General features: G+C 38.6%; 1 protein-coding gene across 20 annotated transcripts in view; it reads right to left on the bottom strand.

The window, feature by feature from the left end:
- The window catches only part of CARF (calcium responsive transcription factor), a 75,989-nt gene that overhangs the window by 36,741 nt on the left and 16,759 nt on the right, over nucleotides 1–22,489 (bottom strand). For 15 of the 20 annotated variants that reach the window (XR_007081622.1, NR_148033.2, NR_136330.3 and 12 more), the window contains 2 exons: nucleotides 9,543–9,663; nucleotides 8,556–8,783 (listed from right to left, as the gene is read on the bottom strand). The exons of 2 other annotated variants lie outside the window; for them this stretch is intronic. Coding sequence is in view for 9 of the 18 variants with exons in the window: in NM_001322428.3 (NP_001309357.1) it covers nucleotides 8,556–8,783; nucleotides 9,543–9,620 (306 nt within the window). In the remaining 9 variants the exon portion in view is untranslated. The remainder of the gene's footprint in view (nucleotides 1–8,555; nucleotides 8,784–9,542; nucleotides 9,664–22,489) is intronic. 3 more of the 20 variants (NM_001282911.3, NM_001282910.3, NM_001322429.3) reach the window with 2 other exon arrangements.

Raw genomic sequence — 22,489 nt, 5'->3', positions numbered from 1 at the left:
ATCAGACTTCCATCAGCACCACATAAATTTTATTACTTAACATACTACTCTCCTATTACCTCTTTAGTGCAGGTAACAATCCTTAATCATTCCAACCCACGTTCCCAGACTCCTCTTTTGCTAGGTAAAACATGAAAATATTGCTGATGCTTGACAGGGACTGTATTCCAACTTTTAAGGGAGTTACTTGAGGCCAGATACAGTGGCTCATGCCTGTAATCCCAGTACTTTGGGAGGCCAAGGTGAGAGGATCACTTGAACCCAGGAGTTTGAGCTTGGGCTACCTGTCTCTACAAAAAATTTTAAAAATTAGCTGAGTGTGATGGCATGTGCCTGTAGTACCAGCTACTCTGGGGGTTCAGGTGGGAGGATCACTTGAGGCTGGGAGGTCAAGGCTGCAGTGAGCCGTGATCATGCTGCTGTACTCCAGCCTGGGTGACAGAGCAAAACCTTGTCTCAAAAAAAAAGGGCCATTTGAAAAAATGCAAATATAAATTTGAAAAAAATTTTTTAAAAAATTTAATGTTAGGGGAAAAACTTCAACAAACTAGAATGCTTTAAATATTAATATAATCATAGATAGTTCCCAAAATTAAGAATGGGAATTGTTTCCTTCCTTCCCCAATGTTCAACAAGTTTCTTGAGATAAAAATGTCCTGCCATAACTCTTATCACTTTAGCATGAAACAGCAACTGCAAACTGATGACAACTGCTTACACGTGCTCAGTTCATAGGAAGTGGCAGCACTTCAGATGTATTACCTCATTTAATCCTCATCACGTGTATCTCAAGTATATACATTTTATAAATGAGGAAACTGTCACACAGAGGTTACAAAACTCATAGAAGGTTACACAGAGCTATTTAGTGGTAGGCTATAATTGAAACTCAAGCAATCTGACTCCTTCAAACTACCACTCTGTACTAGCTCCCAATATTTGACAATGTTACTTAACCTAAGAAAAGACAAAAGCAAAACAATATAAAAAACCCTGCTGGACATTAAAAGGCAACAGTAATAATATTGTTTTAAATTCTTTACCCCTTATAATAAGATTAAATATCTGTGAAAAAAATATGTATATACAAATTTTCTAACTTTTAGGAATGGGGGTATGAAAAGTGTTCTATTCATTCTTAGAAAATAAGTGCTGTGGTTATTTTTAAATCAAAATTAAACACAAATAAGTTTTTATAAGTTATTCAATCATATACAAGTTTCATAATTAAGACTGATCTGTGGAATATCCTCTTAATTTTGAAACTATGTTTCCCAAGCATAGTAGATAAAAGTCTCATTTATTTTCTCCCTTCTTAGCTAAGTCCCCCTGGTACCTAAAAAACTATTTACAATTCATATAATCTGACAATGACAATGTTAATATTACTTTTCCTATTTAAAGAAAACCCAGCTAATTACCTAAAATCTTTGCTATGAAAGCAAACATGGTTTTGAAGAGTCATGTGCTACAACACATTCTATTTCAGGCAGACCATGAAAATTATCAGAAAACTTTAGCTGAGTGGTCTTTTACCTACTAGGCCCTTTGTGTACAATATTTCTAATAAATTCAAAAGACCAATTCAGCTTCACTCCAAAACATCTTCATCCATTGCAGATTCACCCACTACAGAATCTTTACTAATAACTTTTATATAAAAAGTCATATTGGGCCAGGCACGATGGCTCACGCCTGTAATCCCAGCACTTTGGGAGGCCAAGGTGGGTGGATCACCTGAGGTCAGGAGTTTGAGACTAGCCTAGCCAACATGATGAAACCCGTCTCTACTAAAAATACTAAAATTACCTGGGCTTGGTGGCAGGCACCTGCAATCCCAGCTACTCGGGAGGCTGAGGCAGGAAAATCGCTTGAACCCAGGAGGTGGGGGTTGCAGTGAGCTGAGATCACGCAACTGCACTCCAGCCTGGGCAACAGAGTGAGGCTTTGTCTCAAAATAATAATAATAATAATAATAATAATAATAATAATAATAATAATAATAAATAAATAACAAAAAGTCATATTGAAAAAAAGGAAGGTATATTTCTTTAAAAAGCTCCATTTGGCTGATGGCAGTGGCACACCCCTGTAGTTCTAGCTACTCTGGAGGCTATGATCATGCCACTGCAGTTAAGCCTAGGTGACAGAGTGAGACATATCTCTTTTTTTTTTTTTTTGAGATGGAGTCTTGCTCTGTTGCCCAGGCTGGAGTGCATGGAGTGCAGTGGCACGACCTTGGCTCACCACAACCTCTGCCTCCTGGGTTCAAGTGATTCTCCTGCCTCAGCCTCCTGAGTAGATGGCATTACAGGTATGCACCACCATGCCTGGCTAATTTTCATATTTTTAGTAGAAATGGGGTTTTACTATGTTGACCAGTCTAGTCTCGGACTCCTGACCTCGTGATCTGCCCACCTCAGCCTCCCAAAGTGCTGGGATTACAGGCGTAAGCCACCAGGCCCAGCTGAGACATTTCTCTTAAAAAATAAATTATTTAATTAAAATAAATTAAGAAAAACAAGATGCTTAGCTAACAAACCCACAGCCAACATCATAGTAAATAGGCAAAAGCCAGAAGCATTCTCCTTGAAAACCAGCACAAGAAAAGGATGCCCTCTCTCACCACTCCTATTCAACATAGTATTGGAAGTCCCGGCCAAAGCAATCAGGCAAGAGAAAGAAATAAAGGGCATCCAGATAGGAAGAGAGGAAGTTGGACTATCCTTGTTTGCAGACGACATGATCCTACATTTAGAAAACCCCATATTCTCCGTCCAAAAGCTCTTCCAGAAGATAAACAACTTCAGCAAAGTTTCAGTATACAAAATCAATGTTTAAAAATCACTAGCATTCCAATATACCAACAACAACCAAGACAAGGGCCAAACTAGGAAGGCAATCCTATTCACAATTGCCAGAAAAAGAATAAAATACCTAGGATTACAAGAAGGTGAAAGATCTCTACCATAAGAATTACAAAAGACTGCTCAAATAAATCAGAGAAGATACGAACAAATGGAAAAAAAAATCCATGCTCATGGACAGAAAGAATCAATATCATTAAAATGGCCACACTGCGCAAAGCAATTCACAGATTCAATGCTATTCCTATCAAACTGCCAATGGCATTCTTCACAGAACCAGAAAAAAACTATTTTAAAACTCATATAGAACCAAAAAAAGGCCAAATAGCCAAGGCAATCCTAAGCAAAAAGTAGAAAGCTGGAGGCATTATGTTACCTGACTTCAAACTATACTACAAGGCTACAGTAACCAAAACAGCATGGTACTGGTATGAAAACAGACATATAGACCAATGGAACAGAAGAGAGAGCCCAGAAACAAGGCTGCACACCTGCAACCATTTCATCTTCAACAAAGCTGACAAAAACAAGCATTAGGGAGACAACTCCCTGCTAAGTAAATGGTGCCAGGATTACAGGTTAGCCACATGCAGAAGACAGAAGCTGGACCCCTTCCTCACACCATATACAAAAATAAACTCAAGATAGACTAAAGATTTAAATATAAAACCCAAAACTATAAAAACCTGGAAGACAGCCTAGGCAATACCATCCTGGACAAGGGAATGGGCAAAGATTTCATGACAAAGACACTAAAAGCAATCACAACAAAAGCAAAAATTGGAAAATGGAATCTAAATAAACTTAAGAGCTTCTATACAGCAAAAGAAACTATCAACACAGTAAACAAACAACCTGAAGAATGGGAGAAAATATCTGCAAACTATACATCTGACAAAGGTCTATTATCCAGCATCTATATCGAACTTAAAACAAATTTACAAAAGAAAAACAACACCATTGAAAAGTGGGCAAAGGACACAAACAGACATTTCTGGTTTTTTGTTTTTTGTTTTACTTTAAGTTCTGGGACACATATGCTGAACGTGCAAGTTTGTTACATATGTATACATGTGCCATGGTGGTTTGCTGCACCTATCAACTCATCATCTAGGTTTTAAGCCCCTCATGCATTAGGTATTTGTCCTATTGCTCTCCATCCTCTTTCCCCCTACCCCCCCGACAGGCCCTGGTGTATGATGTTCTCCTCCCTGTGTCCATGTGTTCCCATTGTTCAAATCCCATTTATGAGTGAGAACATTAGGTGTTTGGTTTTCTGTTCCTGTGTTAGATTGCTGAGGATGATGGTTTCCAGCTTCAGCCATGTCCCTGCAAAGGACATGAACTCATTCTTTTTTATGGCTACATAGTGTTCCATGGTATATATGTGCCACATTTTCTTTATCCAGTCTATCATTGATGGGCATTTGGGGTAGTTCCAAGACTTTGCTATTGTAAACAGTGCTTCAATAAACATACATGTCCATGTGTCTTTATAGAAGAATGATTTATAATCCTTTGGGTATACACAAAGTAATGAGATTGCTGGGTCAAATGGTATTTCTGGTTCTAGATCCTTGAGGAATCATCACACTGTCTTCCACAATGGCCAAACTAATTTACACTACCACCAACAGTGTAAAAGCGTTCCTATTTCTCCACAGCCTCGCCAGCATCTGTTGTTTCCAGACTTCTTAATAATCGCCATTCTAACCGGCGTGTGATGATATCTCATCGTGGTTTTGATTTGCGTTCCTCTAATGACCGATGATGATGAACTTTTATGTTTGTTGGCCACATAAATGTCTTCTTTGGAAAAGTGTCTTTTCATATCCTTTGCCCACTTTTTGATGGATTTTCTTGTAAATTTGTTTAACTTCCTTGTAGATTCTGGATATTAGACCTTTGTCAGATAGATAGCTTGCAAAAATTTTCTCCCATTCTGTAGGTTGCCTGTTCACTCTGATAGTTTCTTTTGCTGAGCAGAAGCTCTTTAATTAGATCCCATTTGTCAACTTTAGCTTCTGTTGCAATTGCTTTTGGTGTTTTAGTCATGAAGTCTTTGCCCATGCCTATGTCCTGAATGGCATTGCCTAGGTTTTCTTCTAGGGTTTTTATAGTTTTAGGTTTTACGTTTAAGCCTTTAATCCATCTTGAATTAATTTTTTGTATAAGGTGTAAGGAAGGGGTCCAGTTTCTGTTTTCTGCATACGGCTAGCCAGTTTTCCCAGCACCATTTATTAAATAGAGAATCCTTTCCCCATTTCTTGTTTTTGTCAGGTTTGTCAAAGATCAGATGGTTGTAGATGTGTCGTGTTATTTCTGAGGCCTCTGTTCTGTTCCATTGGTCTGTATATCTGTTTTGATACCAGTACCATGCTGTTTGGGTTACTGTAGCCTTGTAGTATAGTTTGAAGTCAAGTAACATGATGCCTCTAGCTTTGTTCTTTTTGCTTAGGATTGTCTTGGCTATACAGGCTCTTTTTTGGTTCCATATGAAATTTAAAGTAGTTTTATCTAGTTTCAACATAAACTTTTCAAAAAGAAGACATACATGCAGTCAACAAGCATATGAAAAAAAGCTCAATATAACTAATCATTAGAGAAATGCAAATCAAAACCACAATGAGATACTATCTCACACCAGTCAGAATGGCCATTATTAAAAAGTCAAAAGATAACAGATGCTAGTGAGGTTGTGGAGAAAAGAGAACACTTATATACTTTCTGGTGGGAGTGTAAATTTGTTCAACCATTGTAGAAAGCAGTATGGTGATTCCTCAAAGAGATAAAAACAGAACCACCATTCAACCCAGCAATCCTATTACTGGATATATACCCAGAGGAATATAAATCATTCTTCCATAAAGACACATGCACATGAATGTTCATTAATGCCCTACTCACAATAGCAAATAAATGGATCAACCTAAATGCCCATCATTGACAGATTAGATAAAGAAAATGTGGTACATATACACCACGGAATACTATGCAGCCATAAAAAAGAACAAGATCATGTCTTTTGTGGGAACGCAGATGGAGCTGGAGGCTACTATCCTTAGCAAACTACACTGGAACAAAAAACCAAATACTGCATGTTCTCACTTACAAGGGGGAGCTAAATGATAAAAACTTATGAACACAAAGAAGGGAACAACAGACAATGGGGTCTACTTGAGAGTGGAGGGTGGGAGGGAGAGGAGCTGAAAAAATAACTATTGGGTACTAGGCCTAATGCATGGGTGGATGAAATAACTTGTACAATCTGAGTGTACCTACATAACAAACCTTCGCATGTACCTTCGAACCTAAAGTAAAAGTTAAAAGTAAATAAAACAAAAACAATAAAACAAAAAAACACCAAATAGCTCCATTTGGTAGGAGATGTTGATAAAGGGGGATACTGTAGCACGTGCAGGTACAGGAAGTATATATATATGAAAATCTGTGTACCTTCTGCTCACTTTGGTCATGAACCTAAAGTTGCTCTAAAAAATACAGTCCACTGAAACAAACAAAACCAAAAGTTCCACTAAGTTTCCCGGAATATTCTCTCTCTGATCTTCAGTTCTTTGAAGAAAATTCTTTCTTATAATCTGTTTCTCACATTTTTTTTCCATGCTTCATACCATGTTTCCTATTTCATGGTTTCAAATAACCTTCTGTGTCATCGCCTACCTAAACAATGTAAAACCACCTTTGTACTTACTTTGTATAGAAAGTTTAATCCAATTACAAAGAGTGTTAATTAACTTTTTTTTGGACTCAAATAAACAATTTTGCTCGGAAAGGTACCCTAGGTAAAATGACAACCCTTTTACACATTCAGACTCCTTGATCTTCCTTTGGAAAAAAAAAAACACAAACTTTCTAAATGTTCTGATAGAAACTAGAATAAATGTCAAATAAAGGGGAAACTACAGAAGTATTTCATTCTGGACATGAAAAATTAAAATGTAGTTGGTTAACATTTAAATTATTTGTTGAATATTAACCTCTGCCGGTGATGCAGTATGGTTCTGGGCATAGGCCCAGAAAACCTGAACATAAACAAAAAGGATTCCCCTGCACACAGTCACCTCTCAACCAATTACTGTTAACCCTAGAATTTAGAAAACTCAATTTGGCTGGATCATAAAGGAGCAAAATGGCACAGATTAACTCTAGAATGCTCTAGATTATGAACAGAAACAAGGGTTAATTCTAGGTAAAATGTTTACCTGTGGTATAATTTATAATTAAAGTTATTATGCTTTTAAAATTATTAATTTTATTATGAAAGTAATAAAATATTTATTGTAGAAAATTCAGAAAATTCAAGTAAACAAGAAACACATTATCCTTCACAGTATTACTTATGTTAAGTATATTCTAAATAACCAGAGAGCAACTTAGAGGCTTAGTAATTTTCCATATGTCAGTCAAAACAATCTTTCACCTCTTTGGCTCAAACTATGAACTTGGTCAAAAATACTTTTAGCCAACAGTTTGAAAAGTATTTAGCCATCCTCATCTTTTTATCTTTATGCATTATTACTCACGTGGCACACATTTACCCACAAAGATCAGCAAGGATATGTCTAATTCCCCATATACTAGTAGTACCTCCATTGCAGTACCTCCATTACTTTCTATTTCTTCAAGAAAACATACCAGAAAGTGGCTTGCAGGTCAGTGAGATGTTGATAAATCAAAAACAGGAGTTTAGGCCGGGCGTGGTGGCTCATGCCTGTAATCCCAGCACTTTGGGAGGCTGAGGTGGGTGGATAACGAGGTCAGGAGTTCAAGACAAGCCTGGCCAACATGGTGAAACCCTGTCTCTACTAAAAATACAAAAACTAGCCGGGTGTGGTGGCAGGTGCCTGTAACCCCAGCTACTCAGGAGGCTGAGGCAAGAGAACTGCTTGAACCCGGGAGGCGGAGGTTGCAGTGAGCCGAGATCGGGCCACTGTACTCCAGCCTTGGCGACAGAGCAAGACTCCATCTCAGAAAAAAAAAAACAAAACTGGAGTTAGCCTAATATGTGTGTGTGTGTGTGTGTGTGTGTGTGTGTGTGTGTGTGTGTACATTCCATTAAATGTAAGTTCCATGTCAACTCTGGCACTTCAGAACTAGTTACAGAATATGTTACATTTCCAATTGATCTCAAAGCACAAGTGTGCCCAAACACAGAGACTCATAAGTACTGTTTAAAGTACTATTTGTAGTCCTGAATGCAAATCTTTTAAAATCCTTACATAAAAATGAAAGTCATGGAAACAGTATTTTAAACACACTGTGGCTGGGCATGGTGGCTAACGCCTGTAATCCCAGAACTTTGAGAGGCCAAGGCGGGTGGATCACCTGAGGTCAGGAGTTTGAGGCCAGCCTGGCCAACATGGTGAAATCCTGTCTCTATTAAAAATACAAAAAAATGAGCCAGGTGTGGTCGTGGGCACCTGTAATCCCAGCTACTTGGGAGGCTTAGGCAGGAGAATCGCTTGAACTCGGAAGGCAGAGGTTGCAGTGAACCAAGATTGTGCCATTGCACTCCAGCCTGGGCAACAAGAGTGGAACTCCATCTCAAAAATAAATAAATAAATAAACACAATGTAAGTCAAAAGTGTCAAGAAATTAAGGTCATTTAGTAAGACTAATACATTTTGCTAAACGGCATAAAACTGGTTACTTATAAAATATACTCACCATTTGTGCATTGGATTCCCCCAATGACTGAAGTTCATATTGAATAGCCTGCCCATTTTGGTCCACTAGATGGAATTGCTCTGCAGAAAGAGTCTGTGTCTGAGTCAGGGGCCCTGGTATATTCTGTGATATGAGTGAATTATTTGCTTCACGAGTAGTGATGGGCAAAACTGTAGGAGAATCATTTTGTCCAAAGGAAGAATCCCTGGAGTCCATACAGATTAGATGCTTTTGTAAGGAAAAAAAAAATCACTTCAGTCTATCACCATTTTTTTTAAAGATGTGTATAATAAAAATGAAAAGACATCCATTTTTCAGTTGTTTTTACTTTTTTGTAAGAGTTGTCAATTCACACAAATTGCTATACACAGAAAGTATTTCTTAAGTAAAATTGTTGATTATTATACTTACTATCTTAATTTTACCAAAATTGTCCACAGGAATGGAACCTGAAATAACATAATTCAACCTATAGATTTTTCTCTGTATATAAAATTTTTATGAATATATCTTAGCATTAAGTTCTGTATTATAATATTAAATATATCATAAAATATGTGTATAATTAAATATTAAAATTCTTTTTTTTTTTTTGAGACGGAGTCTCTCTCTGTTGCCCAGGCAGGAGTGCAGTGGCGTGATCTCAGCTCACTGCAAGCTCTGCCTCCTGGGTTCACGCCATTCTCCTGCCTCAGCCTCCTGAGTAGCTGGGATTACAGGCACCCACCACCACGCCCAGCTAATTTTTGTATTTTTAGTAGAGACAGGGTTTCACCATGTTGGCCAGGCTGGTCTTGAACTCCTGACCTCAGGTGATACGCCCGCCTCAGCCTCCCAAAGTGCTGGGATCACAGGTGTCAGCCACCACGCCCAGCTCAAAATTCTTGAATACACTAAATATAACAGCTATCCCTTGAGCATAAAGAGCTGTTAAATGGCATGCTGTTTTACCCTAGGATGGAAAAAGGTTCCCAGCTGAATCCATACCTCAAATACTTGAGCACTGGTTTTTGACTCTTCACCGTCATTATGGTTGACTCTTAATGAATCATTAGATTGTTCCATGCTGACATCATATTCAATTCCATTTTCTTCTATTATTTAATAGCTGAAAGAGTTTAAATAGCTGATCAACTAAAGCACTTAGTATTTTTGTGGACTGTTTTATCTTAAACAAATCTCTCATATTCACTACTGTGGTACCCTATATAATTTAGGTAAAATCAATTCCATTCTATAGATTAAAAAATTAACACTTTTTAAAATGACTTGCCAAGGCACCAGAATACATTCAATGCAGGGCAAAAATTAGTGTTATATAGTTCCCTCATCCTATCTTTAACTACACTTCTGTACTGGCTTTTTAAGATTGCTTTTATGTGACAAGGTACTGGTATACCCTTTCAAATACTTCTAAAATTCTCATATTACCAGAGATTTAATGCACATAAAGTTTTTCAACTTTATGAGTTGGGTATGCCCTATTGTAGCAGTATATAATTTTAAAATAGATATCCTGGTGTAGACAGAGATTATATATATACAATTTTTACCATTAATAGACAAGCATCCCACTTAACATTAGTTTGACAAGCTTTGAAAAGGAAGATATATTTTAAAAAAGAAAATGAAGAAATATATACCAATAACTCCGAGCCACTTAGGTCTACTACAGTAGTTCTCAATTGGGGCAATTTTGTAAAGCTACAAAATCAGTCCATTTTTAATATATGGCTACAAAATATCTTTTAATTGCTTCTCGTTTTTAAGATTTTAAATTATCACTTATATCCTAATCAAGTAAAAAATCAATTGCAAAAATTCCAAAAAGCCTGTAGTTACCTTGGGCTATAGAAGTAAAAGCAATTTTATTTTATAACTTTCTGGATGGTTTTTGAATTTTATATATTATACCTATATTATTTGAGAATAAAATTATTTAGAAGGAGTTTCAAAATAAAAAGAGCCTCCCATTAGTGTCAATATGGCAAATAGATACTGTAAAAAAAACTGTCTTGCTACAAAACATACAAAACAAAAAACAGAAAGTTGACCGAAAATAAAATCTTTATTTTGTGTCCAGGCTCTGCTACAAGAAGTGCCAACAATCAAAGCCCATTCCCCACTCCAGTGACCGCCCTCCCCTCCCCCCAACTCCAAAAGATCAAAAAAAGAAGAGCTGAGCATAAACAAAGAGGAAACTTTCCCCAAGGGTAGTTCTAATACATTAGTTTTGTGGCTAAGAAACTGAAGTTGGGACAAATAGCTGGTAGGGGAGGAAAACTTAAAATTCCCAAGATAAGGATAACAATCTGAAAGGTTCTGGGTGAAGAGTGTAACCTGGCTTCTGGTAAGAAAAAAATGCAGCTACTATTTGGAGAAAAACAAACCCAATTAAGACTCCAGTATCCTTTCATATTAAGATCAATCAAATATAAGCTAACAATCAAAGAATGCCAAAAAAACAGGAAATTAGCCACCATGAGATTGAGTCACCAGATTCAGACAGCCCCTAAAGACTCCCCATATTGGAAACATCTAAGATTGAATATAATTATTCAATGTCTAAAAAAATGAACCACAGAGATAAGCAAATAATAAAAACTATCAAAAGTTTAATTTTTTAAAAAAACAGGCTGGGCACAGTGGCTCATGCTGGTAATCTCAGCATTCTGGGAGGCCCAGGTAGGTGGATCGCTTGTGGTCAGGAGTTTGAGACCAGACTGGCCAACATGGTGAAACCCTGTCTCTACTAAAAATACAAAAATTAGCTGGGCACAGTGATGCATGCCTGTAATCCTCACTACTTGGGAGGCTGAGGCAGAAGAATTGCTTAAACCCAGGAGGTGGAGGTTGCAGTGAGCTGAGATGGCGCCACTGCACTCCAGCCTGGGTGACAGAGCAAGACTTTGTCTCAAAACAAACAAACAAACAAACAAACAAAGAAACAATGAAAAACTGCTGAAACTAGGTCAATGGGCCAGAAACAGAGGTTCATGTCTGTAATCCCAGCACTTTGGGAGACCAAGGCAAGAGGATTGCTTGACACCAGGAATCTGAGACCAGCCTGGGCAACATAATGAGATCCTGTCTCTACAAAAAAATTTAACAATCAGCCATGTCTGGTGGTGTGGGTCTGCAGTCCCAGCTACTCAGGAGGCTGAGGTGGGAGGATCTCTTGAGTTCAGGAGTCTGAGGCCGCAGTGAGCCATAATCATGCCACTGCACTCCAGCCTGGGTGACATAGTGAGACCCTGTCTCAAAAAAAAAAAAAAAAAAAAAGAAAAAAAGGCAATGGGTAAGTTAAATAGATGATTAGATGCAGAAGAAATAATTATTAAATTGGAAGATAGATTTTTAAATTATCTAGACTGTATCACAGCAAAAACAGAACATAAAATGTATGACAAAGACTTAAAAATAAGAAAAATAGAAAGTATAGTATGCATATAAGTCTCAAAAGAATAGAAAAGGGAAAATGGAGGAGAGACAATATAGATGCTCTTAAACTTATGATGGAGTTACTATCCCGATAAACACACTGTGCATTGAAAATACCTTAAGTGGAAACTATTATAAGTTGAAAGTGCATTTTTGACTTACAGTATTTTCAGTTTACAATGGGTTTATCCAGATGTAATGCCATCGCCATCATAGGTTAAGGGGTATACTAAATATATATCATTTTCACACCATCATAAAGTGGAAAATCATAAGTTGAATTAATATAAGTCAGGGATCATCTGTATTTGAAGAGATAATGGCTGGCAATTTTTCAAAACTAAAGACATGAATCCACAGATAAACGAAGCCTTACTTTTAAGTATTCCAAGAGAAATAAAAAGAAACCCATACTCAATGTAGTGAACGTGCAACATTCTAAAGAGGAACAGCAAAATGCAGCTGGACAGATAAGACAGACCATAAAAACACCCCTGAGCCTAGGTAACAAAAAATACAAATTAAAGAAAGAGAGATAAGACAGACTCCCTACAGAGTATTGAAATTAGACGTACAGTGGCCTTCTTAATAGCAACATGGTAGCAGAAGTCATAGGAATAGTATTTAAGGTTTTAAGAAAGTAGATTGGCTGGGTGTGGTGGCTCATGCCTGTAATCCTAGCATTTTGGGAGGCCAAGGAGAGTGGATCGCTTGAGCCCACAAGTTTGAGATCAGCCTGCCAACATGGCGAAACCCCATCTCAAAAAAGAAAAAAAAGAAAAGTAACTATCAATAAACAATTGTATATGATCCAAACTATTTTTTTCCACTGTCTTACCTTCAGAATAACCAAAAACAAAAAAAAAACAAAAAAAACCCCCCCACAAAACCCCCCATTTTTTTTCAGAAAAGAGAGTGAAAGGAAGATACTTTAAGATTAAAAAAAAACTGAAAGTTGGCTGGGCACGGTGGCTCACCCTGTAATCCCAACACTTTTGGAGGCCGAGGCAGGCGGATCACTTGATGCCAGGAGTTCAAGACCATCCTGACCAACATGGCGAAACCCTGTCTCTGCTAAAAATAAAAAAAATAAAAAAATAAAAAAAATTAGCTGGGTGTTGTGGTGCATACCTGTAACCAGAGCTCCTCAAGTGACTAAGGCACGAAAACTGCTTGAATCTGGGAAGTGGAGGTTGCAGTAAGCCAAGATCGTGCCTTGGCACTCTAGCCTGGGCAACAGGGCAAGACTCCGTCTCAAAAAGAATCATAATAAAAAATAAAAACAAAAAACTGAGAGTTTACAATCAATGTCTCGTATATGAAAGAAATTTCTAAACAACATACTTCATATTTGATAGCACAACAGGGTAACTACCGTCAATAATTTAATTATATTTAAAAATAATTAAAAGAGTATAATTGGATTGTTTATAACACAAAGGATAAATGCTTGAAGGGATGGATAAATGCTTGAGGGGATGGATACCCCATTTTACATGCTATGATTATTATACATTGCATGTCAGTATCAAAACATTTCATGTACCCCATAAATATCTACAACTACTACAATTAAAACATTTTTTTTTTTTTTTTACAGTTGGCTGGGTGCAACGGCTCACACCTATAATCCCTGCACTTTGGGAGGCTGAGGCAGGTGGATCACCTGAGGTCAGGAGTTTGAGACCAGCCTAGCCAACATGGTGAAACCCCATCTCTACTAAAAATATAAAAACTAGCCAGGCGTGGTGGCGCACGCCTATAATTCCAGTTACTTGGGAGGCTGGGGCAAGAGAATCATTTGAACCCAAGAGACGCAGGTTGTAATGAGCCAAGATCACACCACTGCACTCTAGCCTGGGCAACAAGAGCAAGACTCTGTCTCAAAAAAATAATAAATAAACAAATAACAAAAAAAAGGAACAGTTAAGTCATGCCATACAAGCACATTATAGAAGGGAAGAGAAAAAATATACACCAAATATAAAATATTTGGTACAGGAATTACCTCTGTATTTCTTACCTGTTAGGTAACTGAATAAAGCACATTATTTTAGCAAAAAAAAATATTTCAAAAAAACAAATATTATAGCAGAAAAAAGTCCTGAGATGCTTGAAAAAATGGCAAGCAAACAAATTACAACTCTATAAAAATCTAAATAAACACTCTGTATAAAATAATAATCTCAATATTGTAATTTTGTATGTGTGTTTTAAGGACAGAAATAAAATACTATAGAACTAAAAAAAATGCATGTAACTCTACAGGGTGTGATGATAGATAATATATCAATTTATAAAATATAGCAATGATAATATGCACAATATATCAAAATCTATGGGCTGCAAAAAAGCAGTGCTCAGAGGGAAATTTAGAGCAATAAATACAACAGAATCGAGAGTCCAGAAATAACATACCTATGGTTAAATTATTTTTGACAAGGGTGCCAAAAGCATTTGATGAGGAAAGAATACTATCTTCAACAAATGGTGCCAGGACAACTGAATATCCACATGAAAACGAATGATGTTGAACTCCTACCTCATATTACATACCAAAAATAAAAAATGGATCAAAGAGCTGAATATAAGAACTAAAACCATGCAACTCTTAGAAGAAAAACATAGGGGTAAATCTTCATGTCTTTGCATTTGGTGATGGTTTCTTAGATATGGCACCAATAGGACAAGTAAAAGAGAAAACAGATAAATTGGACACCATCAAAATAAAAATTTTTGTACAAAGGTCACCATGACAAGAGTTAAAAGACAACCCATAGATGGGAAAGAATATCTGCAAATCATGTATCTGATAAGGGTCTGGAATATGTAAAGAACTCATACAATTCAACAACAAAGACTACAATCCAAAATAACCCAATTACAAAATGGGCAAAGGTAGAGCCCAAAGATAGATCAAGACCCTGTCTAAAAACAAACAAACAAACAAAATCCCATTATGCTAAGTGACAGAAGCCAAGCCACACACAAAAGGTCACATATTATATGATTCTATTTACATAAAATATCCAAAATAGGTAAATCCATAGAGAAAGAAAGTAGACTGGTGGATGCCAGAGGCTTGAGGGAAGGTATAATGGACTAATGGGTACCAAATTTTATTTTGAGGTGATGAAGATGTTTTGAAGCTCTACATGGCACTTTTGCAACTTTGTGAATGAACTGTCAGTAAATTCTTCATTTTAAAGGGATTAATTTTAAGTTATATGAATTTCACCTCAATTAAAAAAAGTAAAATAGTACCACCACAATGTGTGTGTACATATATATGCATGTGTATACACAAGCAGGAAAATATGAACGTGGACTAGATATTTGATATTAAGGAATTTTTCTTGGGATGTTCAGGCATTCCATGAAAAAAAAGGAATTTTGGGGCTGGATACAGTGGCTCACACTTACAATCCTAACACTTGGGAGGCTGAGGTGGGAGGATTACTTGAGAACAGGAATTTGAGACCAGCATGGGAGTTCAAGACCAGCCTGAGATCCCATTTCTACAAGAAACTTAATAAAAACAAATTAGCTGGGTATGGTGGCACATGTCTGTAGTCGTAATTATTTGGGAGGCTGAGGTGGGAGGATGGCACGAGCCCAGGAGTTTGAGGCTGCAGTAAGCTGTGACTGTACCACTGCAATTCAGCGTGTGCAACAGAGTGAGACTCTGTCCCTAAAGAAAGTATTTTTGGTGTTTTTAGGTATGTGAATGGTATGATAATATTAATACTTATAGATAAAATTATTAGAATGTCCAGGATTTGTTTAAAAAATATCAAAGTCAGGCTGAGCATGGTGACTCATGCGGGTAATCCCAGCACTCTGTGAGGCAGAGGTGGGTGGATCACCGGAACCCAGGAGTTTGACACTAGCCTGGGCAACATAACAAGACCCTATTTCTACTAAAGATCAAAAAAATTAGCTGGGCATGGTGGTGTGTGCCTGCAGTCCCAGCTTCTCGGCAAGCTGAGGCAGGAGATCACTTGAGCCCAGGAGCTGTGATTGTGCCACTGCACTCCAGCCTGTGTGACAAAATGAGACCTTGTCTCAAGAAAGTAAATAAATACCAAAGTCAGAGAAAAGGGTACAATTGATAGAGAAATAAATAAAACAAGATTGGTCATACACTGATAATTGTACACTGGCTTCATTTACTATTCTACTAATATATATATATATATATAAATATACAAATATAAATATAAATATAATATATATAAGTAGAATATTCTACTATTCTAATATATAAATATATAATATACAAATATATAATATATATATTAGTATAGTAAATGAATATATTATATATTATATATTTATAAAATTTATATTTATATTTAAATATATACAGGAGTATATATTATAATTATATTATATAATTATAAATAATTATATATAATTATATATTATATATAATATGTATTTTTTTTTTGAGACAAGGTCTCACTCTGGCCCTCAGGCTGGGGTGCAGTGGCGCAATCTCCACTCACTGCAACCTCTACCTCTCCAGTTCAAGCGATTCTCCCACCTCAGCTTCCCAAGTAACTGGCACTACTGGCGCACACCACCATGCCCAGCTAATTTTTGTACTGTTTGGTAGAGATGGGGTTTCACCATGTTGGCCAGGCTGGTATCGAACTCCTGACTTCAAATGATCTACCCACCTTGGCCTCCCAAAGTGCTGGGATTACAGATGTGAGTCACTGCCCAGCCTACTCCTGTATATTTTTGAAATTTCCCTTTAAAAACTTTTAGGCCAGGTGCAGTGGCTCATGCCTGTAATTCTAGCACTTTGGGAGGCCAAGGCAGGCAGACTGCTTGATCCCAGGAATTCCAGACGAGCCCGGACAACATGTTGAAACCCTGTCTCTACACACACAAAAAATTAGCCAGGTGTGGTGGCCCTCACCTGCAGTCCCAGGTAATCAGATGGCTGAGGTGGGAGGATCACTTGATCCTGGGAGGTTAAGACTGCAGTCAGCTGTGATCATAGCACTGCACTCCAGCCTAGGTGACAAAGCAAGACCTTGTCTCAAAAAACAATCAAACAGCAACAAGAAAAACCAACTTTTAAAAAAGTGGATAGAACTTAGAGCCAAATTGACAAATGTATTACATAGTGCAAGACCTCATGATAATTATCTCAGCCAAGTTAAGGAAACAGAATAAGCTTGAATTACTGGATATATTTAAAATTCATTCCAAACAATTAAAGAACGTGTGTTCCTCTCAAATTCACATGGAACTGCAAATACTAGATCTGAACCATAAAGAACATGTCATGTATCAAAACTTGTGAATACAGCTAATATAAAATTTCAAGGGAAATTTATAGCCTTTAAACTAAGCTTGTCCAACCTGTGGCCCATGGTGTGACTCAGGATGACTTAAAATGCAGCCCAACGCAAATTCATAAACTTTCTTAAAACATTATGAGATTTTTTTTTTGATATTTTTTTTAACTCATCAGCTAACATTAGTGTATTTTATGTGTGGCCCAAGACAATCCATCTTTTTCCAATGTGGTCCAGGGAAGCCAAAAGATTGGACACTCCTTCTTTAAACCCTCATATTAGGAAAGAAAGCTGTGTTCCCTGTTTGTATAGTGGTGTGTAAATTTAAAAAAAGAAAAGAAAAGAAAAGAAAGGAAAGAAAAGAAAAGCAGACTGTGGTCAAAGGATACAAAATTTCAATTACGAGGAATAAGTTCATAGTGACTACAGTTAATAGCAATATACTGTAGTCACGTCACATCAGCAAGATGGCCCACTAGAAGTCCCTAGCATTCATTTCCCCCACAAAGACAATCAAAACAATGAATAAACAACTACATTTTAACAAAAATAAATGAGGGAGAGCATTGACGAGCACAGAAACTCGGGATGGCCACATAGAGAATGGAAGGAAGCATCCGGCCTCCACCACCCAATCCCCCAACTGGGAAGAGCTAGGAACCAGGAAGAACTCCCTGCAGCAAGGAGGGAAGCAAGAGGATTCCAGTAACCAACCCTACCAATAGACCTCACCACTGAGGTTCCCTGCAGTCTTCACAGGCACCAAGCCCAGCTGAGGAAGCTCTCTGGAGTCCACACTGCTGTGCTACCCCGAGAGAAGAAACCGACACTGTGTCCCAGGCACTGTAGTTCATGTAGCTACTGTGCTATGTCATCTTGGAATCCGAACTACGGCTGGAGTGTGTCTTGCTCTGGGGCTGAGTAGCCACAGTTCCCCTTTATCCCTGAGGCTAAGCCAAGACTGAATCACACTAGCCCAGTGGCCCAACATCCCCAAGTTGAGCTGCAAACAGCTCTTATACCCCTGTACAGGGGTCGGGGGAAGCAGAGGTGGAGCCACCCCACCTACCCCTCCTATCACCCCCTCAGGCCAGAGCTGAAGCAGTATCCTGCCTCCTAGGGAAACAGTACCTTAGCTGCTCAGAGCAGTCATGCCTCTCCAGTGCATAAGGTGAAGCAACTACCCACATTCCAGGAAATGATGCCTGGGCCTCCCAGAACAGTCATGCCCCCCAGGCTTAAGCTGAAGCAGCACATGGGCCCCTGGAGAACTGGTGCTGTGGCCAAGTTGAGCAGCTGCCCATCCCAGGGCTGAGCTGACAGTATCCTGTGTCCTAGGGAAACACAGCAGTGGTTGAGCTGAGACACTCTGCCCTACAGACCAAACTTATCTAGTAGTCATCTTCCCCAGAGCTGGACTAGCCCCCTAGAGTCTGAGCTGCTAAGACACCCTTCTCCGTAGGGAGTGCAGTCATTGCTATGCTGTTCCCTACACCCCCAGGGCCTAAACAACAGTTGTACTCCACCATTCTGGGGCACTTGCTGCTGCTGCTGCTGCTGCTGCTGCAACTGGCCTCACAGAGTCTGAGATACTGCCAAGTTCCCAGGGACTACAGTTACTATTACACAGTGCTTCATCCCCCTGGGACTTGACTTACCACCGAGCCCTATTGGCTCATGTTCCCAAACTGTAGCTGTACCCTGCTCCCAAACCTCCAGGGTACCCCCTCCGTTCCCCTAGGCTTGGGCCAGTTCTGTGCCCTGCCTCTCAGAGGTAGAATCACAGCTACAACCTAGCTCCCTGGGCCTGAGCTGCTAGAGGGTATCTGAGAGTCACAGACCCTAGCTCTGTGGTCAATCTACATCCAACTCTGCCACAGAGTGCTAACCTGTACCCCAAAACTCAGGTGCCATAACAGGTTTGTGAGACTCTGATATGGTCTGGGTCCGTGTCCCCACCCAAATCTCATGTTCAATTATAACCCCCAATGTTGGAGGTGGGGCCTGGTGGGAGGTGATTGGATCATGGTGGGGGTTTCTCATGGTTTAACGTCATCTGCCCAGAGCTCTCCTTGAGATAGTGAGATCTCGTTGTTTAAGTGTGTGGCACTTCCCCACTCTTTGTCTTCCTCCTGCTCCTGCCATGTGAAATGCTGGTTCCCCCTTTGCCTTCCACCATGACTGGAAGCTTCCTGACGCCTCCCCAGTAGAAGCCACAATGCTTCCTGTACAGCCTGCAGAACCATGAACCAATTAAACCTCTTTTCTTTATAAATCACCCAGTCTCAAGTATTTGTTTATGTCACTGCAAGAACAGACTAATACAGACCCTGTGCCAGTACCTGGAACCCAGCGCTCCTGTAGCTACTTGTAGTCTATTCAGACCTGACATCTTGGTTAAGTCTTCCCTTTGGGGAGAAAATTAGAATGAGCACCCAGTTATTGGTGACGTTATTAATTAAAATTAGAATGAGCACCCAGTTATTGCTGACGTTGAATGCAGCTGAAGAAGCTGCATGGAAACTATACCACTGCACCTATCCACAAACAGACACTACACCCTTCCTGACTGGCATGATAAAACCCAACTGCAGGTGAGTGTCTTTCTCTACAAAGCTACTCTAGAAAGTTTAGAAAAGGCAATTGTTCCACCAAATAAACAGACATTGACACAGAAACACAAGGAAGTATGACGCTACCAAAGGAACATAATACAGCTGACCCTCAAACAATGCAGGAATTGGGGCACCAACTGCTCACACGGTCAAAAATGTGTGTATAACTTTTGACTGCCCAAAGGCTTAACTACTAATAGCTTACTATTGGCTGGAAGCCTTACCAATAACATAAACAGTCAATTAACATATAGTTTTATGTTATATGTATTATATACTGTATTCTTATAATTAAGTTAGCTAAATAAAAGTTTATGAAGAAAGTCATGGCCGGGAGCAGTGGCTCACACCTGTAATCCCAGCACTTTGGGAGGCCAAGGCAGGCGGATAACCTAAGGTCGAGAGTTCGAGACCAGCCTGGCCAACATGGAGAAACCCATCTCTACTAAAAATATGAAATTAGCCGGGCTTGGTGGCACATGCCTGTAAACCCAGCTACTAAGGAAGCTGAGGCAGGAGAATCGCTTGAATCAGGGGGTGGAGGTTGTGGTGAGCCGAGACTGCACCATTGCACTCCAGCCTGGGCAACAAGAGTGAAACTCCGTTGCCAAAAAAAAAAAAAAAAAAAAAAGAAAAGAAAAAAAGTCATAAGGAAGAGAAAATGTATTTACTAATCATTAAGGGGAAGTGGATCATCATAAAGGTATTCATCCTCATCATCTAAATATAAGTTGAATAGGCTAAGGGAGAGGAAGAAGAGGAGGGGTTGGTCCCACTGTCTCAGGGATGGTAGAGGCTAAAGAAAACCTGAGTACAGGACCTGTGCAGTTTAAAACCATGTTGATCAAGGGAGTTGTAACTCTAGTAACAGATTCTAATGATAAAAAGGCTACGAGTTGCCAAAAATTTTTCAAAACAATGGTCTTAAACTTAACAAGAAACAAGAAAATACAAATAGATAATTCAATGAAGTCGGAAAACAACTCACAATATGAACAAGAAATTCAACAAAGAGATACAAATAATAAAAAGAACAAAACAAAAATCCTGCTGCTGAAGAATTCAATGAATGAAATAAATACAATAGAGAGCTTCAATTAGCAGACTTGATCAAGCAGAGAGAATTTCTGAACTTGGACATAGGTCATTTGAAATTACCCAGAGAGAGAAAAGAAGGAAATAATGATGAAAATGAACAAAGAAAGTCTATAAGAATTATGGGATACCATTAAATACTGTAAAACACTGAACGAGGCCAGGTGTGGTGGCTCAGGCCTGTAATCCCAGCACTTTGGAAAGCCAAGGCAGGTGGATGACTTGGGGTCAGGAGTTGAGACAGGCCTGGCCAACATGGTGAAACCCTGTGTCTACTAAAAATACAAAAATTAGGCAGACATGGTGATGCACAACTATAATTCCGGCTATTCAGGAGGCTAAGGCATGAGAATCGCTTGAGCCCAGGAGGCAGAGGTTGGAGTGAGCCGAGATCGAGCCACTGCACTCCAGCCTGGGCGACAGATTGAGGCCCTGTCTCAAAACAAAACAAAACAAAACCCCCCACACACATTGAATGAAATAAATTGGAGAACACACACAAAAAATGGAAAGACATCGCATTTATGGAGTGGAATAATTAATATTGTGAAAATGACCATACTACCAAAGGCGATCAACAGATTCACTGCAATCCTTATAAAAATACCAATGAGCTGGGTACAATGGCACACATCCATAGTCCCAGCTACTCAGAAGGCTGAGGCAGGAGGATTGCTTGAGCCCAGGATTCCAAGGCCAGTCTGGGTACTGTAGCAAGACCCTATCTCTTAAAAAAACAAAACAACAACAACAACAAAAGCCCCGAAATCCCAATGATAGTCTTCACACAAATAGAAACAACAAAAACCTTAAAATTTGTATGGAACCACAAAAGACCTTGACTAGCCAAAGCAATCCTAAGCAAAAAGAACAAAGCTAGAAGCATCATACTATCTGGCTTCAAAATATATTACAAAGCTATATAACCAAAACATCACAGTACTGGCATAAAAACAGACACACCAATGGAAGAGAATAGAAAACAAACAAACAAACAAAATCTACGCACTTACAGCCAATTGATTTTCAACAAAGGTACCAAGAATATTCACTGGGGAAGGGACAGTCCCTTTGATAAAAGGTCCTGGGAAAACTGGATATCTGTATGCAGTAAAATGAAAGTAGACCCCTAGCTCTCACCATATATAAAAACCAACTAAAAATGGATTAAAGACTTAAATGTGAGACCTGGAACTATAAAACTACCAGAAGAAAACACAGGGGTAATGCTTCAGGACATTGGTCTAGGCAAAGATTTTTATGGCTAAGACCTCAAAAGCAAAAATAGACAAATGGATTTGTATCAAACTAAAAAGCTTTTGTACAGCAAACTAAACAAGCAACAGAGTGAAGAGACAACCTGCAGAGTGGAAGAAAATATTTGCAAACTATTCCACGAGGGATTAATAAATAAATAATTTCATTTAGAAATGGACAAATGAGCTGAACAGACATCTCTCAAAAGAAGATA

Source organism: Homo sapiens, chromosome 2 (assembly GCF_000001405.40).
Source record: "Homo sapiens chromosome 2, GRCh38.p14 Primary Assembly".
Lineage (NCBI taxonomy): Eukaryota > Metazoa > Chordata > Mammalia > Primates > Hominidae > Homo > Homo sapiens.
This window is presented reverse-complemented; position numbering and strand designations above follow the sequence as displayed.